This window comes from Homo sapiens, chromosome 2 (genome assembly GCF_000001405.40).
Source record: "Homo sapiens chromosome 2, GRCh38.p14 Primary Assembly".
Classification (NCBI taxonomy): Eukaryota; Metazoa; Chordata; class Mammalia; order Primates; family Hominidae; genus Homo; species Homo sapiens.
Window position 1 is genome coordinate 61,141,592 of NC_000002.12, and position 23,523 is coordinate 61,165,114.

General features: G+C 44.5%; 1 protein-coding gene and 2 long non-coding RNA genes across 12 annotated transcripts in view, besides 3 other annotated features; 1 reads left to right on the forward strand and 2 right to left on the reverse strand.

The window, feature by feature from the left end:
• On the reverse strand, positions 1–3,384 carry C2orf74-DT (C2orf74 divergent transcript). The gene is made up of 2 exons (NR_036496.1): positions 3,182–3,384; positions 1–2,354 (listed from the first exon to the last, which is right to left on the reverse strand). It is a non-coding gene; the product is annotated as a C2orf74 divergent transcript (long non-coding RNA).
• Positions 2,597–3,518: an enhancer, noted in NCBI's record as "H3K27ac hESC enhancer chr2:61371323-61372244 (GRCh37/hg19 assembly coordinates)". NCBI's record gives its function as "activates a minimal SCP1, AML or CMV promoter by ChIP-STARR-seq in primed H9 embryonic stem cells {active_cell/tissue: H9 hESC(primed)}" and the evidence as "EXISTENCE:reporter gene assay evidence [ECO:0000049][PMID:30033119]".
• Positions 2,597–3,562: a biological region, named in NCBI's record as "H3K27ac hESC enhancer GRCh37_chr2:61371323-61372244".
• Positions 3,213–3,562: an enhancer, noted in NCBI's record as "active region_15829". NCBI's record gives its function as "activates an Ori minimal core promoter by ATAC-STARR-seq in GM12878 lymphoblastoid cells {active_cell/tissue: GM12878}" and the evidence as "EXISTENCE:reporter gene assay evidence [ECO:0000049][PMID:35858748]".
• C2orf74 (chromosome 2 open reading frame 74) lies at positions 3,525–23,237 on the forward strand. Of its 6 annotated transcripts, NM_001367070.1 has the most exons (6): positions 3,525–3,605; positions 16,271–16,421; positions 17,727–17,848; positions 21,251–21,364; positions 21,461–21,641; positions 22,763–23,237. In NM_001367070.1, the coding sequence occupies exons 5-6, from the start codon at positions 21,468–21,470 to the stop codon at positions 22,934–22,936; spliced, it is 348 nt and encodes a 115-aa protein (NP_001353999.1). In that variant the 5' UTR covers positions 3,525–3,605; positions 16,271–16,421; positions 17,727–17,848; positions 21,251–21,364; positions 21,461–21,467; the 3' UTR covers positions 22,937–23,237. The 6 variants fall into 6 exon arrangements, with proteins under 6 accessions (NP_001353999.1, NP_001353998.1, NP_001354000.1 ...); NM_001367069.1 differs by lacking the exon at positions 17,727–17,848; NM_001367071.1 differs by lacking the exon at positions 16,271–16,421.
• Positions 9,842–23,523, reverse strand: part of C2orf74-AS1 (C2orf74 antisense RNA 1) — a 26,853-nt gene continuing 13,171 nt past the window's right edge. Inside the window, exons 1-3 of one of the 5 annotated variants that reach the window (NR_183877.1) lie at positions 20,424–20,520; positions 19,747–20,304; positions 9,842–10,123 (exon numbers count right to left, since the gene is read on the reverse strand). This is a non-coding gene — a long non-coding RNA (C2orf74 antisense RNA 1). Of the gene's footprint in view, positions 10,538–19,746; positions 20,305–20,423; positions 20,521–23,523 lie in introns of those variants that run through there. The other 4 variants (NR_183874.1, NR_183875.1, NR_183878.1 and 1 more) reach the window with 4 other exon arrangements.

Consider the following 23,523-nt stretch of genomic DNA (forward strand, 5'->3'; position numbering starts at 1 on the left):
TTTTTGCCTACTCCTTTTTATTCTTACAACCTACTCCAATTGCACCTCTGTCTCCACAACTCAATTGAACATACTTTACAAAGGCCATCAATGACATGCACATTGCTAAACATACACAAAAAATCATGAGCAAGTAGTTACAAGCTTTAGGACAGATATAAAAAGAAATTCTAACGCAGAAATTTTATCCAAAGTTTCATCCATTTTATAATCAATATTAGTAAAAAAGACCAAGACACATGGGCTGGGTGCGGTGGCTCATGCCTGTAATTACAGCACTTTGGGAGGCCGAGGTGGGTGGATCACCTGAGGTCAGGAATTTGAGACCAGCCTGGCCAACAGGGTGAGACCCCATCTCTACTTAAAACACAAAAATTAGCAGGGCATGGTGGTGCACACCTGTTGTCCCAGCTACTTGGGAGGCTGAGACAGGAGAATCTCTTGAACCTGGGAGGCGGAGGTTGCAGCGAGCCAAGATCACGCCACTGCACTCCAGCCTGGGTGACAGACTGAGACTCTGTCAAAAACAAAAACAAAACAAAACAAAAAGACTTAAGACATGGAGTACATTAGTTTAGGGACAGGTCTCCTGATCTAGCCGGCTCCAAGCAGGAGTGAGATAGTTGTGCAGGGGTGCATTTAAGCAAACCTGGCTGGTCCATTTTCTGAACTAGCCAGTCCACTAGAATTTTGATGAAGCATCTCATCAGGTATGGACATGTTGACTAAGAGTCAACTCTGTAAAATGTTTGAAGAGATTTATTCTGAGCCAAATATGAGTGATTATGACCCGTGACACGGCCCTCAGGAGGTCCTGAGAACATGTGCCCAAGGTGTTCGGGGCACAGCTTGGTTTTATACATTTTAGGGAGGCATGAGACATCAATGAAATACGTTTAAGAAATAACATTGGTTTGGTTCAGAAAGATGGAGCAACTCAAAGCAGGGATTTCCAGGCTATAGGTAAAGGTAAACATTTTCTTTTTTTTTTCTGTGATGGAGTCTCACTTTGTTGCCCAAGCTGGAGTGCAGTGGCACGATCTCTGCTTACTGCAACCTCTGCCCGCCGGGTTCAAGCAATTCTCCTTCCTCAGCTTCCCAAGTAGCTGGGACTACAGGTGCATGCCACTACGCCCGGCTAAATTTTTGTATTTTAGTAGAGACGGGGTTTCACCATGTTGCCCAGGCTGGTCTCGAACTCCTGAGGTCAGGCAATCTGCCCGCCTTGGTCTTCCAAAGTGCTGGGATTAGAGGCATGAGACACTGTGCCCAGCCAATTTAAACATTTTCTAATTGACAAATGGTTGAGTTCACAATTGTCTGAAGACCTGGGATCAATAGGAAGCACATGTTCAGGTTAAGATAAAAGATTATAATACTTCAAAAGGTTCTTTTGAAGTCTTATAATGGCTACCCTTAGAGATGATAGATGACAAATGTTTCCTATTCAGACCTTTAAAACAATGCTAGACTCTCAGTCTCTTCAGGATTGGGAGGGCCTGGAAGAAAAAGATCTAGCTGTGTTAATAGAGATTCTTTACAGATGCATATTTTCCCCCACAAAGCACAGCTTTGCAGGACCATTTCAAAATATGGCAAAGAAACATGTTTTGGGGTAAAATATTTTGACTTTCTTCTTTGTCACATGTCATGCCAGAGTCAGACTGGAAAGCAAGTCACCATATATAGGGTTAAATAAAACTCATCTGATGAGAATTTATGGTTTGTTGGGCATGACTCCCCAGGCCCCTTAGATAGGAATTTGGGCCAGATTAAAAAAAAAAAAAAAAATCAAAGCTTAGTCCTGAGGCAGCTTCTGAAATGGTGGGAAAAAATGTGAGTTTTGAGGAAACATTTGGTTCAGCCATTGTTCTTAAGAGATACTGACATTTCAACCTACTATAAAGAGGGAAATTTAAAGTATTAAAGTATTAATGAGTTGGTAGGACCCGCTTTTCTTTTTTTTTTTTTTTTTAATTCACTGGCCCCGAAAGAAACTTCTCTGTCAGGCCACAATATAACCAGATACCAGACACACGAGATGTTTTGGAGGGAGGGTGGTGGAGCCAAGATTGCAGCTCCTTATTGAGGAAAACAGTCCTCAGAGATCCAGAGTCATTTCTCCTGTGTTCAGCTTGAAAACCTTGGGCAACTTCTGGAGATTTCAACGTCTCACAGAGTGCGGAAACATGACTGGCGCAGCATCCTTTCCGGAATTGGTGATGTCCTTCCTGTAAGGGTTGATTTTCCATCTCATCAACCAAATCGGGAAAGCCGCAGCATCCTTTTCTCCAAGAATGACAGGTGGTTTATCTCAGGCTTTTCTGTCCCGGCGCCTTTCTCTCCAATGCAGTCTATGGAATATATATATAGAGAGAGAGCGTGAGAGAGAGAGAGACGGAGTCTCGCTCTGTCGCCCAGGCTGAAGTGCAGTAGCGCGATCTTGGCTCACTGCAAGCTCCGCCTCCCGGGTTCACGCCGTTCTCCTGCCTCAGCCTCTCGAGTAGCTGAGACTACAGGCGCCCGCCACCACGCCCAGCTAATTTTTTTGTATTTTTAGGAGAGATGGGGTTTCACCGTGTTAGCCAGGATGGTCTCGATCTGCTGACCTCGTGATCCGCCCGTCTCGGCCTCCCACAGTGCTGGGATTACAGGCATGAACCACCGCGTCCGGCCTGGAATATTTTAAAATATGCAGATTATTAACCCCGACACTTTTGAAAGTCCTTTGTAACCAACTTCCTCCTCAATATAAAATATTAATGTAATTTGGCCGGGTGAGGTGGCTCACGCCTGTAATTCTAGCACTTTGGGAGGCCGAGGCGGGTGGACTGCCTGAGCTCAGGAGTTTGAGACCAGCCTGGGCAACACGGTGAAACTCCGTTTCTACTAAAATACAAAAAATTAGCCGGGTGTGGTGGCGCGCGCCTGTAATCCCAGCTACTCAGGAGGCTGAGGCAGGAGAATTGCTGGAGTCCGGGAGGCGGAGGTGCAGTGAGCCGAGATCGCGCCACTGCACTGCAGCCTGGGGAACAGGGCGAGAATCCGACTCTTTAAAAAAAGAGAAAAAAATTTAAGTAATTTAATTTTTTATTTTTTTCCGCCCCCGCCGTCCCGCCCCTAGCATTAATTTTTAAAACTCGCTTTAGACACCGTTTGGAGGGGGCCAGGTGCTGAATACCTGCTGATGTAATGCAGTGATTTTTTGTTTGAGGGCCACAGGAAGACCCCTTGTGGCTGTTGTACTGGCATTCCCTCTTCATAGCAGGGATGGTGCCTCTGGACATTTTCCGACAGCAGGGATCGTTGGGTGAGGTTAGCAGCGCCAGCCCGGGTTAGCGGAAGCAGCCTTCAGGTCTCCTAGGAGAGCAGGTTTATGAGCATGCGCAGCGGATTTTCCGTTAGGGAAGCCGATGGGGCGCGGCTCCTTGGAGCATGCGCACACAAACTTTCCGCTAGGAATCAAGCGAGCATGCGCACACAGATGTTAGGGTTCGGGCGAGCTATTTGGAGCCTGCGCAGTCAGATCCGAGGACATGTTGACGTCGTCCGAGAGTCTTAAAATCCTGCTCTGGCCGGATTCCAGACTCGTGGGGGAAAGGCTGGTATGTTCGTTTTATAACAGGAGTTTTAGCGTCATCTTTTGTCCTTGGATAAGTTTTTCCAAATATAAATATATTAAATATTCATTTAAAATATCTAAGAATTAACAGGCAGCAGTGCATTAGACAAATGGGCGAAGTACTGGGGTACCAAGTTCACAGAAAAATAGTAGTTAAAAATAGACTTTAAATATATGAAAAGATGCTTAGCTGCATGTTTTTGTGTTTTTTATTTATTTATTTATTTTTTTGAGATGGAGTCCTGTGTTGCCCAAGCTGGAGTGCAGTAATGCAATCTCGGCTCACTGCACCCTCCGCTGCCCGGGTTCAAGTGATTCTCCCACCTCAGCCTCCCGAGTAGCTGGAATTACAGGCAGGTGCCACCACGCCAGGCTAATTTTTATATTTTTAGTAGAGATGGGGTTCACCATGTTGGCCAGGCTGGTCTCGAACTCCTGACCTCAGGTTATCGGCCTGCCTCAGACTCCCAAAGTGCTGGGATTACAGGCGTGAGCCACCGCGCCCGGCCTGTTTTGTATTTTATTTTTTCTGAGACAGGTGGCACGATCACAGCTCACTACAGCCTCCACTTCCCAAGCCCAAGCAATCCTCCCACCTCAGTTTCACCAAGTGCTAGGATTACAGGCCAGCTTCAGTTTTAATAAAAATGCAAATCATCATGATTGGTGAACATTGAAACGTTTGGTAATATACTCAATATAGGAGGGTGTCAGGAAAACAGGTGCAGTGTTACAGTGCTAGTAGGAGCAGAATGCAGCAATCCTTAGTGGTTATCAAAACCACACTGAATAATATTTGCATTTTGATCCAACAATCCCACTTTGGGGAATTTTGCCTCCAAATACACTTGCATACATGTAAAGTAATATGTGTATGAGATTATTGATTGTAATAGCAAAAGGTTGTAAACTACGTGAGTATCCATCAGAAGACTGATATTATAAACTACAGTACATACACACAATGGAACATTATGCAGCTATGAAAAAGAGTGAGGAATCAGTTCCCAACATACTAATGTGGAACCATCTCTAGCATATCTTACTAAGCGAAAAAAGCCCAGGTGCCAAACAGTGTATAAATTATGCTTTTTGTGTAGAAAAGGATAAATGAGAGTCATATGATCCTTATTTCCACATAAATTCTGGCAATATACTCAAGAAACTAATAGTCATGGTTTCTTATGAGATGGAGGGTAGGACTGAGATAGGGTGAGAGACTTCTCAATGTATTCCTCATTATAATATATTGAATTATCTGAATGCTGTTCATTAAAAACAAAAATAACACTACAATAACTTTTTTTAAAAAAGCTAGAAACATATAATATTAAAAAAGGGGCCAGGTGCGGTGGCTCATGCTTGTAATCCCAGCATTTTGGGAGGCCGAGACGGGCAGATCACGAGGTCAGGAGATGGAGACCGTCGTGGCCAATGTGGTGAAACCCCGTCTCTACTAAAAATACAAAAATTAGACTGGCGTGGTGGCGCATGCCTGTGGTCCCAGCTACTCAGGAGGCTGAGGCAGGAGAATTGAATCGCTTGAACCAGGGAGTCGGAGGTTGCAGTGAGCCGAGATGGCGCCACTGCACTCCAGCCTGGCGACAGAGCAAGACTTCGTCTCAAAAAAAAAAACAAAAAACAAAAAAACTGGAGGCTGGGTGTGTGGCTCACACCTCTAATCCCACCACTTTGGAAGACTGAGACAGGAGGATTGCTTGAGCACAGGAGTTTTGAGACCAACCTGGGCAGCATGGTGAAAACCCACATCTACAAAAAGAACATCAACAACAAAAAACCTCCAAATTAGATGGGAGTGGTGGTGGGCGCCTGTAGGCCCAACTACCCGGGAGGCTGAGGTGGGGGGATCGGTTGAGCCCAGGAGACAGAGGTTACAGTGAGCTGAGATCCTGCCACTGCACTCCAGCCTAGGCAACAGAGGAAGACTCTCAAAAAAAGAGAAAGAAAGAAAAAAAGGTGAAATTATGGGAGATTTTTCCTTTCCTTTCCTTTTTTTTTTTTGACAAGGTTTTCTCTGTTGCCGAGACTGCACAATGGCGCCATCACAACTCACTGCCCAGGCTCAAGCGATCTGCGGGCCTCGGCTTCCCAAAGTGTTGGGATTACAGGGGTGAGCCACTTTTCCCAGACAATAATATTATTTTACATGTTTTTACACACAAAAGAGTTTTCTTGGAATAACAAGAGTTCATCCAAAGTGTTTTACCAATTTCCATTTCCATCTGCAGTATCGAAAACCTTCCTCTTGCTGCATGTCCTCACCAGTTCTTAGAATTGACAGACTACTTTTTTTTGTCAATCCTGTGGTATAAAATATTACCTGATTTTGTTTTCACTTTGCATTTCTGTGATAATTAGCGAGGTGAGCCTCTTATATTTATTGCCCATTCGTCCTTTGTCCTTTGAGAAGTACCTTTTTTCTATTTTGCCTTTCCCTTTTTTATAGGCGTTTTAAAAATATTCTATACGTTGATCCTTTAAAGATTATTTGTGTGGCAAATATTTTCTACCAGTCTGTGGGTTGCCTTTTTGTTTGTTTTTTGTTTGTTTTGAGACTGAATCTTGCTCTGTCGCCCAGGCTGGAGTGCAGTGGTGTGATCTTGGCTCACTGCAACCTCCGCCTCCTGGGTTGGAGCAATTCTCCTGCCTCATCCTCCCGAGTAGCTGGGACTACAGGCACATGCCACCACGCCTGGCTAATTTTTTGTATTTTTAGTAGAGATGGGGTTTTGCCATGTTGCCCAGGCTGGTCTCAAACTCCTGACCTCAGCTGATGCTCCTGCCTTGGCTTCACAAAGTGCTGGGATTACAGTGTGGGTTGCCTTTTAACATAATTTCTGTTTTGTTTTTAACTTTGGAAAGGAATATATATGGAATATATATATTTAAATATATGTATTATATATAATATATAAAAATGTATATGTATTATATATATAATATATAAAAATATATATGTATATATTTTTTAGATGGAGTTTCGCTCTTGTTGCCCAAGCTGGAGTGCAATGGTGCCATCTCGGCTTACTGCAACCTCCGCCCCCTGGCTTCAAGCAATTCTCCTGCCTCAGCCTCCTGAGTAGCTGGGATTACAGGTGCCTGCCACCACGTCCAGCAAATTTTTATATTTTTGGTAGAGATGGGGTTTCACCATGTTGGCCAGGCTGGTCTCGAAATCCTGACCTCAGGTGATCTACCTGCCTCAGCCTCCCAAAATGCTGGGATAACAGGCATCAGCCATGCACCTGGCCTGGAAAGGAATATTTTAATAAAATTATTTTTATTGTTTTACTTGTTTTGGAAATAGAGGATAGTTTTTTAACTAATTTTAAAATCTGACACTAATGTTTATTACTCATTTGGATATCCTCTTGCGTGAAATGCCTGTTCAAGACTTTTGCCCATTTTCTATTGTCTTATTGATTTACAAGAGTTCTTTATATATTCTGAGTACATGTCCTTTGTATATGAATAGTGTTTAGCTTGTCTTTTGTTTTTTTGAGATGGATCCTCGCCTTGTCACCCAGGCTGGAGTGCAATGGCACAATCTCGGCTCACTGCAACCTCCGTCTTCCAGGTTTAAGCGATTCTCCTGCCTCAGCCTCCTGAGTATCTGGGATTACAGGTGCACAACACCACACCCCGCTAAGTTTTGTATTTTCAGTAGAGACGGGGATGTTGATAATAGGGAGGCTATGCCTGTGTCGGGGCAGGAGGTCTATGGGAAAACTCTGTATCTTCTGCTATATTTTGCTCCGAACCTAAAACTACTCTAGAGAAATAAGGTTTTCAAAACAAACAAGAAGTCCTCCACAATCTGTCTAACCTCCTGGTACAAACATGAGCGCAGATGAGCTTCAAGGGCAAGGTGAAATTCACAAACATTGCTTCAGATATGAAGCCTAACTACGGAGACCAAAAAATATCTCCCCTCTGACTTCAAGCATGGCTTGTGTATCTGTATTCAACAAGAATAACGTTTTTGTGGGGGATTAGAGTCGGGAGAGTGAGTGTGGTTTTCTCCAGAGTGGGAGTTAACCAGTATGTAGGAGGAAGGGTGTTTCAGGGCCATAGATGTGTCCTGCTATAACTTTGTAGTCCTGGATGCTGTAATAAGGCCTCCTGCAGACCTTCGTTCTATTCCACAGCTGCCCGGGGTGTTTATAAAAGTGCAACTTCAAGGTTTATTCCAGAGCTAAAGTCAGAAAAACTTTTGGCCCTTCTCTGTATCTCAGCACTTGCAAGGCTGTCCTGGTCCAAGGTAGAGAGTGTGCAACTGAAAATAGGGACGCTGTGGACTTTCTGGGCCAAGTTCCCCGTCTAGATGTTGGGCGCCTTTCTTTTTTTTTTTTTTTTTTTTTTTTGAGACAGTTTCGCTCTGTTGCCCAGGCTGGAATGCAGTGGCACAATCTTGGCTCACTGCAACTTACGCCTCCCAGGTTCAAGCAATTCTCCTGCCTCAGCCTCACAAGTAGCTGGGATTACAGGCATGCACCACCACGCCTGACTAATTTTGTATTTTTTTAGTAAAGATGGGGTCCTCCATGTTGGTCAGGCTGGTCTCGAACTCCTGACCTCAGGCGATCCGCCTGCCTTGGCCTCCCAAAGTGCTGGGATTACAAGCATGAGCCACCGCACGTAGATGATACCGGGTTTCTTGATGGGGGAGCCCAAAAGAGGCATCTCAAAGGTAATTTTCATGAAGGCAGATTTGAGTAAACAGAGGAAGTGGCTTAGTCTACTTCTTGTCCCTGTTTGGAGATGGCCTTTCCCGGGACTAGGTAGGTGTTATGGTCATGTTGCATAATACTGGGTCTGCAAAGATCGCCGAATGGTTGATGGAAGAATACTATAGCAAGTCATGGATATTCTCTGTAGGGCCAGGTGCTGAGGGTTGGTGAAGTTGTCCTTTGGGGTTAGATCTCAGTTCTCCCTTAGGCCAAGAGTCAGTAAACTAAAACTCAGCCACATTCCTCTGATCCAAGTTCTGTGCCCCAGGGATCTAGGACTCCTGGGATGGAGGTGCACCTGGCCTTAAGTTTTCTTTTAGATTCTAGTGAGGTCTTGGCTATCCAGGATTGCTCCTAACACTAAGAGCACCTCCAGCAAGAGTATAGCTGGCATTACTGTATAAACTCCCCTTCATGGGAAGCCTAGCTCTTGAAGGTACTTCTTGATCTCTATAAAAGAGGAGTGAGAGCCACAGTGAGTCCTGCACTAACAGGATCATCCTGCGATGTTGAGAGGGAAAATGGGCCTCCTGGACAGAAACACTGAGACACCTTGGGGCCTGCTGTAAGATCCACATCGGTCCCCCTCCACATGTTCCTTTATGCCCACATATAGTCAGTCAGATGCAGCTACAAGAGGAGACATGAGAGGCTCAGGAAAACAAAGCTGACTGTCCTCACAGGCCCTAGAAACAGGAGGCGCTGCACACCACATAGGGCCAGTAGGAAAGCCCCACAGCATGGAGCAGGAGGTAGAGGGGGCAAGAACTACAGGAGAGAATAGCTCATCACTTTTGTTGGAGTTTATGAGGAAAAGGCAAGGGAGGGCAAGCTAAACATCTCAAGATTGGCTACTTTGAATAGTTTCAGGGCTCTACTTGGCCTAGGGATGCTGGAGGCAGAGGAATGTTGTCTCCTGAGGTGTGCTGGCCAGATGGAGTAGACTTGGCTCTGGATTGGTTAGTTTCATATCAAAGGGATGCCACAGGCTGCACCCTTTGCTTTCACTAAGAATTGGCTGGTCCCAGGAGGGGCAGCCTCAGCTAGAAAGGTTTTTAAGATGTCAAAACAGACTGGGTGCAGTGGCTCACGCCTGTAATCCCAGCACTTTGGGAGGCCGAGGCGGGAGGATCACAAGGTCAGGAGTTCAAGACCAGCCTGGCCAAGATGGTGAAACCCCGTCTCTACTAAAAATACAATCATTAGCCAGGTGTGATGGCAGGTGCCTGTAATCCCAGCTACTTGGGAGGCTGAGGCAGGAGAATCGCTTGAACCCGGGAGATGGAGGTTGCAGTGAGCTGAGATTGCACCACTGCACTCTAGCCTGGGTGACAGAGCAAGACTCCGTCTCAAAAAAAAAAAAAAAAAGATGTCAAAACATTATAATATACAGAAAATCAAAATATATAAATACAGGCTATACTAGATACCTATTGCTGCATAACAAGTGACTCCAAAACTTAGCAGCTTAATTCAAACATTTATTAACTCTTAGCTTCTGTGAGCTTGGTGATCCTGGCTCAGGGTCTTTCTAGAGGTTGCAGTCAAGATGTTAGTCTAAAGTAATCTGAAGACTCATTTGGGGGAGAATCCATTTCCAAGCTTCTTCACATGGTTATTGGCAAGAAGCCCTAGTTCCTCCCTGGCTGTTGGAAGGAGGGAGGGCTCAGTTCTTCAGCATGTGAGTCATTCCATGGGCTGCTTGAGTGTCCTTACAACATGGCAACTGGCTTCTCCCAGAGCAGGTGACCTGAGAGAAAAGGCAAGGAGGAAGCCACATTTGTTTTATGACCCACTCTCGGAACTCACAGACCCTCACTTTTGCTTCATTTTAGTCATTAGAAGAGATTTACTACTATAAATCCAGTCCACACTCAAGGGAAGGGAGGAATATTAAAACCATCACAAAGTCCAACACCAAATTGATCTCCACAAATTCAGTCCAGGTACATTGTGGCAAAGGCCACCCTGCCCTGGTTTGCCACAGATCCAGTGATTTCAGTCTCTTAGAGACAATGGCATTTAAACCATGAAGCTTCTCCCTTTTGTGGATTAGAGGTGTGAGATTTCTGGCGCATCATGGTGAGTCTCATTTGGAGTCTGCACAAAGTTGAGGCTCCCAGGTCTCCCAGGGTCAGGTTTTCAGAAGGCCATACTTTAAAGGCTGGGGGTAGAACAACGAGTGGTTTAGGAAATGCAGGACGGGGATCCTGCCAACACCGGTTTTTGGAGTGGACTCTCTCCTTAAAGCTACCTGGTAACCTGACTGTGCTGTTTACTAAACATTACCAAGCATGTCGGGCGCGGTGGTTCATGCCTGTAATCCCAGCACTTTGGGAGGCCGAGGCGGGCAGATCACGAGGTCAGGAGATCGAGACCATCCTGGCTAATATGGTGAAGCCCCATTTCTACTAAAAATACAAAAAATTAGCCAGGCGTGGTGGTGGGCACCTGTAGTCCCAGCTACTCAGGAGGCTGAGGCAGGAGAATGGCGTGAACCCGGGAGGCGGAGCTTGCAGTGAGCCGAGATCATGCCATTGCACTCCAGCCTGGGCAACAGAGTGAGACTCCATCTCAAAAAAAAATTAAAAAAAAAAGCTGGGGCCGGGCGCAGTGGCTCACGCCTGTAATCCCAGCACTTTGGGAGGCTGAGGCGGGCAGATTACCTGAGGTCAGGAGTTCGAGATCAGCCTGGGCAACATGGTGAAACCCCATCTCTACTAAAAATACAAAATTAGCTGGGCGTGGTGACACATGCCTGTAATCCCAGCTACTCGGTAGGCTGAGGCAGGAGAATCGCTTGAACCTGGGAGGAGGAGGATGCGGTGAGCCAAGATTGCGCCATTGCACTCCAGCCTGGGCAACAAGAGTAAATCTCCATCTCACCAAAAAAAAAAAAAAAAAAAGCCAGGCGCGCGCGGTGGCTCGCGCCTGTAATCCCAGTACTTTGGGAGGCCAAGGTGGGCGGATCACCTGAGGTCAGGAGTTTGAGACCAGCCTCAACATGGAGAAACCCCGTCTCTACTAAAAATACAAAATTAGCCGGGCGTTGTAGTGCATGCCTGTAATCCCAGCTACTCGGGAGGCTGAGGCAGGAGAATTGCTTGAACCTGGGAGGCAGAGGTTGGGGTGAGCCGAGATGGTGCCATTGCACTCCTGGGCAACAAGAGCAAAACTCCGTCTCCAAAAAAAAAAAAAAAAAACAACATTACCAAGCATCATTATAAATGAAGGGAAAATAGAAGTGAGGACAGAGAGGAGGAAGACAATTTAAAATGTTTCAGTAAATCAATAGTAGAAGGATAAAGATGTGAAATTTATTTATTTATTTTTTGAGACGGAGTCTCGCTCAGTCACCCAGTCTGGAGTGCAGTGGCGCGATCTCAGCTCACTGCAAGCTCCTCCTCCTGGGTTCATGCCATTCTCCTGCCTCAGCCTCCTGAGTAGCTGGGACTACAGGCGCCCACCACTACGCCTAGCTAATTTTTTTTGTATTTTTAGTAGAGACTGGGTTTCACCATGTTAGCCAGGGTGGTCTCAATCTCCTGACCTCGTGATTCACCCGCCTTGGCCTCCCAAAGTGCTGGGATTACAGGTGTGAGCCACCGCGCCTGGCCAAAGGTGTGAAATTTAAAATGTATAAACTGGGCGCGGTGGCTCACGCCTGTAATCCCAGCACTTTGGGAGGCCGAGGTGGGCAGATCACCTGAGGTCAGGAGTTCAAGACCAGCCAGGCCAACATGGTGAAACCCCGTCTCCACTAAAAATATAAAAATTAGCTGGGCATGGTGGTGCACACCTGTAATCCCAGCTACTCAGGAGGCTGAGGCAGGAGAATCTCTTGAACCTGGGAGGCAGAGGTTGCAGTGAGCTGAGATCGTGCCACTACATTCCAGCCTGGGTGACAGAGCAACACTCCGTCTCAAAAAAAAAGAAAAAGAAAGAAAAAAAGAAAATATGTCTTCCTTTACTTCAGATAAAATTTAGTATTTGGCTAGGCGCGATGGCTCACGCCTGTAATCCCAGCACTTTAAGAGGCTGAGGTGGGTGGATCACTTGAGGTCAGGAGTTCAAGACCATCCTGGCTAACATGGTGAAATCCCGTCTCTACTAATAATACAAAAATTAGCTGGGCGTGGTGGCGGATGCCTGTAATCCAGTCGGGAGGCTGAGGCAGGAGAATCGCTTGAACCTGGGAGGTGGAGGTTGCATTGAGCCAACATCATGCCATTGCACTTCAGCCTGGGCAATAAGAGCGAAATTCTGTCTCAAAAAAAAAAAAAAAAAAAATTTAGAATTCAAAAGTTCAAATTCCAATAGTGGATCATCCTACAGTATACTTGATCAGTGCTTTACAAAGCTGTCAAGGTCATCAAAAACAGGGAAAGTTTGAGAAATTGTCACAGCCAAGAGGAGCCTAAGGAGACATGATTTAATTGTAATATAGTGTCCTGAATGGGGTCCTGGACCCAAAAAAGACATTAGGTAAAAACTAAGAGAATCTGAATCAACCATGGGCTTTAGTTAATAATAATTTATCAGTATTGGTTCATAAATCATAACAAATAGATCACACTGATTTAAGATATTAATAATAGGGGAAACTGGGTGTGAGGTATATGAGAACCCTCTGTACTGTCTTCTCAGCTTTCCTGTAAATCCAAAAACATCCTAAAAAATTGTTTTAAGTCTGCTTTTGCCCAACAGTTACCAAAATCTTTACAGAGAGGAAAACATCTCCTTGAGCACTAGGTTACCAATCATGGGCCATGAACATTTTTACTGTGTGCTTAAAAAGAAACAGAAAAGGCTGGGCTAGGTGGCTCATGCCTATGATCCCAGTACTTTGGGAGGCCAAGGTAGGCGGATCGCTTGAGGTCAGGAGTTCGAGACCAGTCTGACCAACATGGTGAAACCCCATCTCTACTTAAAAAAAAAAAAAATACAAAAATTAGCTGGGTGTGGTGGTGCACGCCTGTAATCCCAGCTACTTGGGAGGCTGAGGCAGGAGAATTGCTTGAACCTGGGAGGCAGAGGTTGCAGTGAGCTGAGATCACACCACTGCACTCCAGCCTGGGCAACACATTGAGACTCTGTCTCAAAAAAAGAAAAAAGAAACAGAAAAGTTTAAAGTGTTTGACTAATCATATTTAAGCAAGTTCCCAATAAAAATAAGTTGCTCAAATGACAAATTTGTGATTCAGGGGTTTCTTTTAATTCAACAAAGAGAAATAAAGCCTCCTGTGATTAAGAAAGACTTTGACATCCACAAGAGAAACTAATTTCTAGGCTTGAGAAAATTGCTTTGAGTCAGAAAATATGCTTTATTTCCCATTAATTGTTCATGAAATGTTTCTACTATTTTAACAATTTCTGTCTCATCACCAATGAATTTTTATTTCTCTTTTGATTTTTTTAATCCTCACCTCCACATCCCCCCAAAAAGCCAGAATAGTTGTTGGGGTCTTCAAATGAATGCAATTCATTATATTATCTCCCTTTTGCAAGCTAATGAGATGGATTATAAAGAAATCAAGGCTTTTTGTTTGTTTGTTTGTTTGTTTGTTTGTTTTTGAGACGGAGTCTGGCTCTGTCCCCCAGGCTGGAGTGCAGTGGCGCGATCTCGGCTCACTGCAAGCTCCACCTCCTGCGTTCACTCTATTCTCCTGACTCAGCCTCCCGAGTAGCTGGGACTATAGGCACCCGCCACCATGCCCGGCTGATTTTTTGTATTTTTAGTAGAGATGGGGTTTCACCGTGTTAGCCAGGATGGTCTCAATCTCCTAACCACGTTATCCACCCGGCTTGGCCTCCCAAAATGCTGGGATTACAGGCGTGAGCCACCGTGCCCGGCCCCAGAAATCAAGGTGTTTTTTTTAAACAGTTTTAAAGCAGAACATTGCTTTTTTCTTAAAGGTTAAGAGGAGACAGAATCTCAAGAATTAGAAATAAGGCTGGGCGTGGTGGTTCATGCCTGTAATCCCAGCACTTTAGGAGGCCAAGTGGAAGGACTGCTTGAGCCCAGGAGTTTGAGACCAGCCAGGGCAACATAACCAGACCGTGTCTCTACAAAAAAATTAAAAAATTAGCCAGGCATGGTGGCATGTGCCTGTAGTTCCAGCTACTCAGGAGGCCGAGGTGGGAGGATCACTTGACCCTGGAAGGTTAAGGCTGCAGTGAGCTATGATTGCACTACTGCACTCTAGTCCAGGCAACAGAGCAAGACCCAGTGTCAAGAAATTAAGTAAAAACATATTGAAGAAAAGGGAATGAATAGAAGTTAAAATAATCAGCTGGGTTCTGTGGCTCATGCCTATAATCCTGGCACTTTGGGAGGGTGAGGCAGGCGGATCACTTGAGCCCAGGAGTTCAAGACCACCCTGGGCAACATGGCAAAACTCTGTCTCTTTTAAAAAAGAAAACAAAAATCAAAACATAAGCTATTTGGAGCCAAAAAAAACAATGAAACAAAATGGATGAGATTTAGAATAAAAGATAAAGAGCTAGAGGCCAATAAACTTTGAAAATAAAACATTAATATTTTAATATCAGAGTTGTAGTCACATGTATATGTACAAATATGTCCATCAATGCTATTAATAAAAGCAGTACGTTGTCCAACAATAAGAAAATAATTGGCCGGGCGTGGTGGCTCATGCCTGTAATCCTAGCACTTTCAGAGGCCAAGGCGGGCAGATCGCTTGAGCTCAGGGGTTTGAGACCAGCATGGGCAACATGGTGAGACCTCGTCTCTGCAAAAAAATACAAAAAGTTAGTGGGCATGGTGGCGTGCACCTGTAATTCTAACTACTTGGGGAGCTAAGGCAGGAGGATTGCTTGAGCCCAGGAGGTGGAGGCTGCAGTGAACCAAGATCATGCCACTACAACCTGGGTGACAAAGTGAGACCCTGTCTCAAAAACAACCACAACAACAAAAAAGATTCTAGGTATTTAGTCTCCATTTCTCTGTTTTGTTGCAGACCAATGACAATTTAGGGACCACACCAGTCTATAGATAACACTTAGAGTAGCACCAGTTGACCAGATCCCTCAAATATTTGATTGATTGATTGACTGATCGATTGATTTGAGATGAAGTCTCACTCTGTCGCCCAGGCTGGAGTGCAGTGGCGCGATCTCGGCTCACTGCAACCTCCCCTCCGCCTCCTGGGTTCAAGCGAGTCTCCTGCCTCAGCCTCCCGAGTAGCTAGGTTTACAGGCCCACGCCACCACGCCTGGCTAATTTTTGTATTTTTAGTAGAGACGGGGTTTTACCATGTTGGCCAGGCTGGTCTCGAACTCCTGGACTCAAGTGATCCACCTGCCTCAGCCTCCCAAAGTGCTGGGATTAACAGGTGTGAGCCACTGTGCCTGGCCTGGAGGGAACATATTTAATGCTCAAGAAGTCAGATCAGGAAATGGCAGATGGGTGCTATGCCTCTTGTATCAAGGCTCAGAAGAGGAGGCAGTGTGATGCTCGTTGCAGTGCTGTGTTGGTCAGGAATCTTGGGGTGCAACATCCATGAACCCCAATTAAACCAGCTTAAGCCAAAAAGGAAAGGCATGGACTCACACAGCTGAAAGTCCAGCTTCCTGTCCACACTGTAAGTCAAGCCTTCAGGCATAGCTAGATCAAGCAGAGCCCTTTTTAATCTGTCTTTCTCCATACTCTCAGCCCTGCTTTCTTCCATGCTGGAAGTTCCTGCAAATATCTTAACACTGAGGTTAATTAAGCTGATTTAGATCACATGTTGACCCTTGAACTGTGGACTATCCTGATCAGCCAGGCCTGAGTCCTGTGTCCACTGCCCCTAGTTTCCAAATTCAGGCAGCTGTGACGGAGTCCTTTGAGCGTGCTCACTCATCCTGTAATTCCTGGATCATGTTTTTGTCACAGGATTTCAACAGATCACATGGATCAAGGCCTTAGGGAGGTGGTTGGGGATTCACGTATGCCCTGGACCATCTGGAGCCCAAGTTGCTGCAGATCCTGTCACCACGAGTGGACACCCTCTGGCCACCATAGCAAAGAAGTCTGCAGGCAGGAGGTAGGCAGTAGGGCAGGACTGCTTATTCTGTATGGAAGAGGCAATATCTGACCCCAACATGGCAGATGCCAGGAGCACAAGAAAAGCCCCCCTTGCTCCAAAGAGAACCCCTGCTCCCCCATCTTCTGGATAGTGCCTGAAATTCTACCCAGACTGTCTTACTTTAACCTTAGGCCCACATTAAGGTCCAGATACCCATGAGAGTTACTATCAGGCATTCTTGTTGTGAAGAGTTAGAAAACAGGTTTTGTTAACAAGAGGGAATAAAAATCAGTGTAGTGTAGGAGGTGAAAAATTACAAAGACTATGAAAGACCTTGGGGGTAGGAGGTGAGAAATTACAAAGACTATGAAAGACCCTGTCACTTCCCAGCATGCCTGGGACTGGAGCTGGATAGGGCAAGGGGTTGGGATATACATAAGTGACAAGGTGTTTTCTATATCAAGTGAGAACTCAGAAAAAGCACGATTGGAAGTGTCACTGAAACACCAGGGGTTCTGTCTAGGTCTTGCTGCTGGCTGCTCAGAAAGCCAATCACTGAGACAACGAGTATTGCCAGGGAAGAAGGCTTAGGCTTTAATCTGGTGGTGCAGCTGAGGTGAACAGGAGATGAAGGCTCAAATCTGTCTCCCCAGTTGATTAAGATTGAGGGATTTACATAGTGGGGAAGGCGGAAAATCAGGAAGTAGGGAGGGGTAAGGAAGCAGTCAGGATGGGGAGTCTGGTGTCTCATTGTCTGGAGGTAGTGATCTGATGGGTTTCAGTTCCTTGCCTGAAGGTCAGTTTCCTGAGGAAGAAACTCTGATGAGATAGTTTCAAGTTTTAAGACCAGGGGAGAGTCCATTTCTGTGTTTATTCAGCAAACTATACATATTAGTTTTATGGGACAATTGGGCTGATTTCAAAAGGAAGCCCAATGGATGGTGATTGCATAATGGAAGAGAATCCAAGAACCAAGTTTTTTTTTGTTGTTTGTTTGTTTGTTTGTTTGTTTGTTTGTTTTGAGACGGGGTCTCACTCTGTCGCCAGGCTGGAGTGCAGTGGTGCAATCTCAGCTCACTGCAACCTCCACCTCCTGGGTTCAAGCAGTTCTCCTGCCTCAGCCTCCCAAGTAGCTGGGACTACAGATGCGTGCCACCACACCCGGCTAATTTTTTGTATTTTTAGTAGAGATGGGGTTTCACCATGTTAGCCAGGATGGCCTCAATCTCCTGACCTTGTGATCCTCCTGCCTTGGCCTCCCAAAGTGCTGAGATTACAGGCGTGAGCCACCACACCCAGCCTTTTTTTTTTTCTTTTTTCAAGATGGAGTCTCGCTCTGTTGCCTAGGCTGGAGTGCAGTGGCACGATCTCAGCTCACTGCAACCTCTGCCTTCCCAGTTCAAGCAATTCTCCTGCCTCAGCCTCCCAGGTAGCTGGGATTACAGGTATGCACCACCACGCTGGCTAATTTTTGTATTTTTAGTTGAGACGGGGTTTCGCCATGATGGCCAGGCTGGTCTCAAACTCCTGACCTCAAATGATGCGCCCACCTTGGCCTCCCAAAGTGCTGGGATTACAGGCATGAGCCGCCACACCAGGCCAAGAACTAAGTCTTAAAAGGATTGAGAGGTGGGACAGGTAAAGGGCTGAGGTAGGGGTAGAACATTCACAGTGGGGAAACAAATTGAACAAAGGGTGGAGATTGAAATAAAATCTGTATGTGCTGGTGGTTTTGGTTTTGCAATGCCTGCTGTATACCTGGCCACTTTACAGACAAATTCCCTTTTCTTTGTTCCATAAATAATTTTTAAAACTGTGATAAAATATACATAACATAAAATTTACCATTTTAACCATTTTTAAGTGTGCAGTTCAGTGGTATTAAGTATGTTCACATTATTGTGCTACCATCACCACTGTCTGCCTCCAGAACTTTTTCATAATTCTAAATTGAAACTCTACAGCCATTAAACACTGATTTCCCATTTCTTCCTCCCTGCAGTACCTGCTAACCATGATTCTGCTTTCTGTGTCTATGAATTTGACTATTTCAGGTACCTCATATAAGTGGAATCATACAACATGTGACCTATTGTGTCTGGCTTACTTTACTTAGCATAATGCCTTCAAAATTCTTCCAAGTTGTAACATGTATCAGAATGTCATTCCTTTTTTTTTTTTGAGATGAAGTCCTGCTCTTGTTCTCCAGGCTGGAGAGTGCTATGGTGCAATTTTGGCTGACTGCGACCTCCGCCTCCTGGGTTCAAGCAATTCTCCTGCCTTGGCCCCCCAAGTAGCTGGGATTACGGGCACCTGCCCCCACGCCTGGCTAATTTTTGTATTTTTAGTAGAGATGGGGTTTCACCATGTTGGCCAGGCTGGTCTAGAACTCCCCTCAGGTGATCCACCCGCCTCAGCCTCCCAAAGTGCTGGGATTAAATAGGCATGAGCCACTGCGCCCAGCCCGGAATTTCATTCCTTTTAAAGCTGAATAGTATTCCACTGAGTGTATATACCACTTTTTTTTTTTTTCAGATGGAGTCCTACTCTGTCACCCAGGCTGGAGTGCAATGGCACGATCTTGGCTCACTGTAACCTCTGCCTCCCAGGTTCAAGCGATTTTCCTGCCTCAGCCTCCCAAGTAGCTAGGATTACAGGTGTCCGCCACCACGCCCAGCTAGTTTTTGTATTTTTAGTAGAGACCAGGCTGGTCTTGAACTCCTGACCTCAGGTGATCCACCCGCCTCAGCCTCCCAAAGTGCTGGCATTACAGGCGTGAGCCACCATGCCCAGCCACCACATTTTATCTATCCATCCTTCGATGGACATTTTGGGTTTTTCTACCTTTTGGTATTTTGAGTAATTCTGCCATGAGCAAGGGTGTACAAATATCTGTTTGAATCCCTGCTTGCAATTCTTTGTGTATACACCCAGAAATGGAATTACTGCATCATATAGTAATTCTTTACTTAATTTTCTGAGGAACTGCTATACTGTTTTCTACAGTGACTGTACCATTTTACATTCCCACCAACAGTGCACAAGGTTCCAATTTCTCCATATCCTCACCAATACTTTTTTTTCTTTCTAAAATAATAACCCCCCTATTGGGTATGAGGTGGTAACACACTGTGGTTTTGATTTGCACTTCCCTAATGATTAGTGTTGTTGAACATTTTTTTCATGTGCTTATTGATCATTTGTATATCTTCTTTGGAGAAATGTCTTGAAATCCTTTGCCTGTTTCAAAATTGGGTTTGTTGTTGTTGAGTTGTAGGAGTTCTTCATATATTCTGGATATCAGTCCATTAACAGATTATGTGATTTACAAATATTTTCTCACCATTGAATATGATGATAGTTGTAGGATTCTCACATATGGCTTTTATTATGTTGAGGTAGTTTACTTCTATTTCTCATTTGTTGAGTGGTTTTAGCATGAAAGTGTGTTAAATTTTGTCAAGTGCTTTTTCTGCATCAGTAGAGATGATAATATGTTTATTTTTAACCTTCATTCTGTTAATGTGATGTTTTACGTTGGTTGGTTTTTGTGTACTAAACTATCTTTGCATTCCAGGAATAAGTCCCACTTGGTCATGGTGTGTAATCCTTTTAATATGTTGCTGAATTTGGTATCCTAGTACTTTGTTGAAGACTTGTGCATCAATATTCATAAAGGATATTGGTCTATAGCTTTCTTTTTTTGTAGTGGCTTTGGTATCAGGGTAATGCCAGCTCCATAGAATGACTAGTAAGTGTTCCCTCTTCAATTTTTGAAAGGTTTGAGAAAGATTGGTGTTAGTTCTTTGTTAAATGTTTGGTAGAATTCCACAGTGAAGCCTTGAGCTCAGGGCTATAGAGAGGGATTTCATAAGAAGGAAGTATACCAATTGTTCATGGTCTGTGAAAGAAGCAATAAAAGAAACAGGCTCAGATTAGGAAAGGAAAGGTGATGTTTGGAGAGTAGGGAGAAAATCCTTGCTCAAAGAATGGTCAAGACAGTTTCAAATGGCCTCTAACCTGGACCTCTCAGAAGAGGGGGACGAACAGGCAACAGCCTCGTGGTTCTCCAGCCTCCAGGTGATGGACTGGGTTGGACTGGCTCTCTGGTCTCTCTAACTCAAGGGCTCCATGATTCTATGATGTCACTGACGAGAGAAGAATGGGGAGCTGGGCTCAGCTCCAGCTGTTCCGATTCCTCTCTCCTCTGGGTCCTGATAGTTTTTGGGGTGAGGGAGGTGAGCTGCGTGATCACACATGTCCCAGCTCAGTCTCCCCTCTGGCCACCTCAGCCCCCACCACAGTTATGGAGAGAAATTAGCCAGTGTGAGTCAACTCTGCAACAAGCAGAGCATCTTTCATGAAGCTGAACTGACCAAAAGAACAACAAAGAAAACAGCTTTTTATTCCTCTGTTTCTAGAAAACTTAAAGAACAAGAGAACTGCATTCAAATTGAGCTGGAAAAGAATATTTGGACAGTCTGTGATTGTGAGAGTGGATGAGTCTTCTAGCTAAACCTATGAGCTTTGAAACCACAGCAATCACTTTCTTCATCATCCTTCTAATTTGCCTCATTTGCATCCTCCTCTTATTGGTGGTTTTTTTATATAAATGGTATAAATCCATGCTGATAATTGGGATCAGATTTCAAGTCACATTAGCAAATGTGTATAGAAATAATGTAAAACAATTTAAAACAGAACAAGTAATGATACCATAATTATCTACTTTTCCATTTCAGCATTTTAGAAATGCTGATATCCTGTTTAAACGTGAAGTTTCTATACCACACCTTAAAATCAGGGCCATTCTTCCTTTTCTGAATTTGTGGCTTGTTTGTTTTCAGTTTCCAAGGCAGGAAAGGTAAAGAGACAAAGAAAGTGCCTTGTACAGATGCAAACGGAGGTGTAGACTGTGCAGCTGCCAAAGTGGTGACAAGCAATCCAGAGGACCATGAAAGGCGAGTGTGGTGCAGGATGTGGCAGAGGCCATTTTGTGTTTGATAGTGGGGATGAGGATGCATGAATGTTTAAAACTCTACCGATTAATTTTCTAGGATCTTAATGCAAGTCATGAACTTGAATGTGCCGATGAGGCCTGGCATTCTTGTCCAGAGACAGAGTAAGGAAGTGTTGGCCACACCCTTAGAAAACAGAAGGGACATGGAGGCAGAAGAGGAGAACCAAATAAATGAGAAGCAAGAGCCTGAGAATGCTGGAGAAACTGGTCAAGAAGAGGTGATGTGTTTTTCTACTCTCAAAGAGCAGTTTAGAATTTGTTTGATTGAAAATAAGGTACATTCCTCAGCTAGGTATAATAATAGGAGATGGAGGACCGGGCGGGTGGCTCACGCCTGTAATCCCAGCATTTTGGGAGGCCAAGGAGGGCGGATCACGAGGGCACATCGAGACCAGCCTGGCCAACATGGTGAAACCCCGTCTCTACTAAAAATACAAAAATTAGCTGGGCGTGGTGGCACCCGCCTGTAATCCCAGCTACTTGGGAGGCTGAGGCAGGAGAATCGCTTGAACCCGGGAGTCAGAGGTTGCAGTGAGCCAAGATCGCCACTGCACTCCAGCCTGGTGACAGAGGGAGACTCCATCTCAAAAAAAAATAATAATAATAATAAATAATAATAATAATAGGAGATGGAGTTGCATATAACTTAGGTTTGTAAGTAGAATGAGTCCAATGCCCACAGTCATTTAAGCCATTCTGGTTGCTTATCAGTTCGTGTTACTAAACCATTACATATGCCAAGTCTAGAAACTTGCTTAGTCTTCATTCTTACATTTATGTTTTTCTTAATAATTCCCCTTCAGTTTGTTTTTCTCAAAATCCTAGAATCTTAGAGCTGTTAAGAGACTATCTAGGGATCCAGCCCTCTCCTGTTTCCAATGAGAAAACGAGATGAATTGTTTACCTCTCCACTGTGGCCAAGCTCAGGCCCAGACCGCAGCCCCCTGTGCTAGCTCCAGGGTCCTACAACAGCACACAACACAGCTGGGTCCTTCTTGAGCTCTGTGTCTGCGATTCCCTGACACGAACAACTCACATACCCTCCCACCCCATGGCCATGCCCGGTTGACGACAGAATGATGGTCCTGGTGGCTCTTGGGTTTGACCACTTCATGGAGAGAATTACATGTCACCAAATGTTATTTGAATATGTCAGTGTGTGCTTTTATAACCATAAAAATGTGAAAATGTGATCATGATGGATTATTGCTACTTTCCTATATCATTTAGAAATGCTTTTTCTGTTTCTCGTTAAGTGTACATATAACCTGTAATTTTAAAAGCAGGGCTTGTCATAAATTGATTATTTGTTTATATTGTTTGTCCCATTCTCTTGCAGGATGATGGTTTGCAGAAAATACACACATCTGTCACTAGAACTCCTTCAGTTGTTGAAAGCCAAAAAAGACCTTTAAAAGGAGTGACATTTTCTAGGGAGGTAATTGTTGTGGATCTTGGGAATGAATACCCTACACCTCGAAGCTATACTCGAGAACATAAAGAGAGGAAATGAAGCTCAAAAAAGGGTAAGAGTGAAAGAAAATGTAACGTTTGACTAACGTTGAAAGACTGAGGGTACAAAATCATGTTGAAACAACAAAACAATGGGGAATTAAGCAAATAAAGATATTATTTTACCTTTGTGCAGAAAGGAGTGAGCCATGTGCAAAATTCTGTAAGTAAAATACTTAGAGCTTGAATATAATTTTTTAAAAATTCAAATCTGAGTTCAAGAAATTGATTGTATTGCCCTTAAAACTATCTACTCAAACACTGTTCTGGCATGTGAATAAAGTGATTTTTGTTTGTACAAATACCTATTAGGTACATCATATTCAAGGGGGATTTTTTGAAATAATACATGTTCTGCATGCTCTGATCATAGGCATTCATGACCAAATAACACTACAGCTGTCATCACGGAAGCTTCCATAACTGTCGTCTTCTACTACATAATCCCCATTGAACTCAGTCCTGAAACCTTTCTTGTACTGACCACTGCTTCTTAAAAATTGGTACAGGCTGGGCACGGTGGCTCATGCCTGTAATCCCAGCACTTTGGGAGGCTGAGGTGGGTGGATCACCTGAGGTCAGGAGTTC

What these genes read in the sequence shown, in the direction of transcription:
- C2orf74 (NM_001143959.4), top strand. Translation starts at nt 20,924, where the DNA reads ATGAGCTTTGAAACCACAGCAATCACTTTCTTCATCATCCTTCTAATT. An exon ending in AATCCAGAGGACCATGAAAG is followed by an intron (nt 21,365 to 21,460) that starts GCGAGTGTGGTG and finishes TTAATTTTCTAG; the next exon opens with GATCTTAATGCAAGTCATGA. An exon ending in GAGAAACTGGTCAAGAAGAG is followed by an intron (nt 21,642 to 22,762) that starts GTGATGTGTTTT and finishes ATTCTCTTGCAG; the next exon opens with GATGATGGTTTGCAGAAAAT.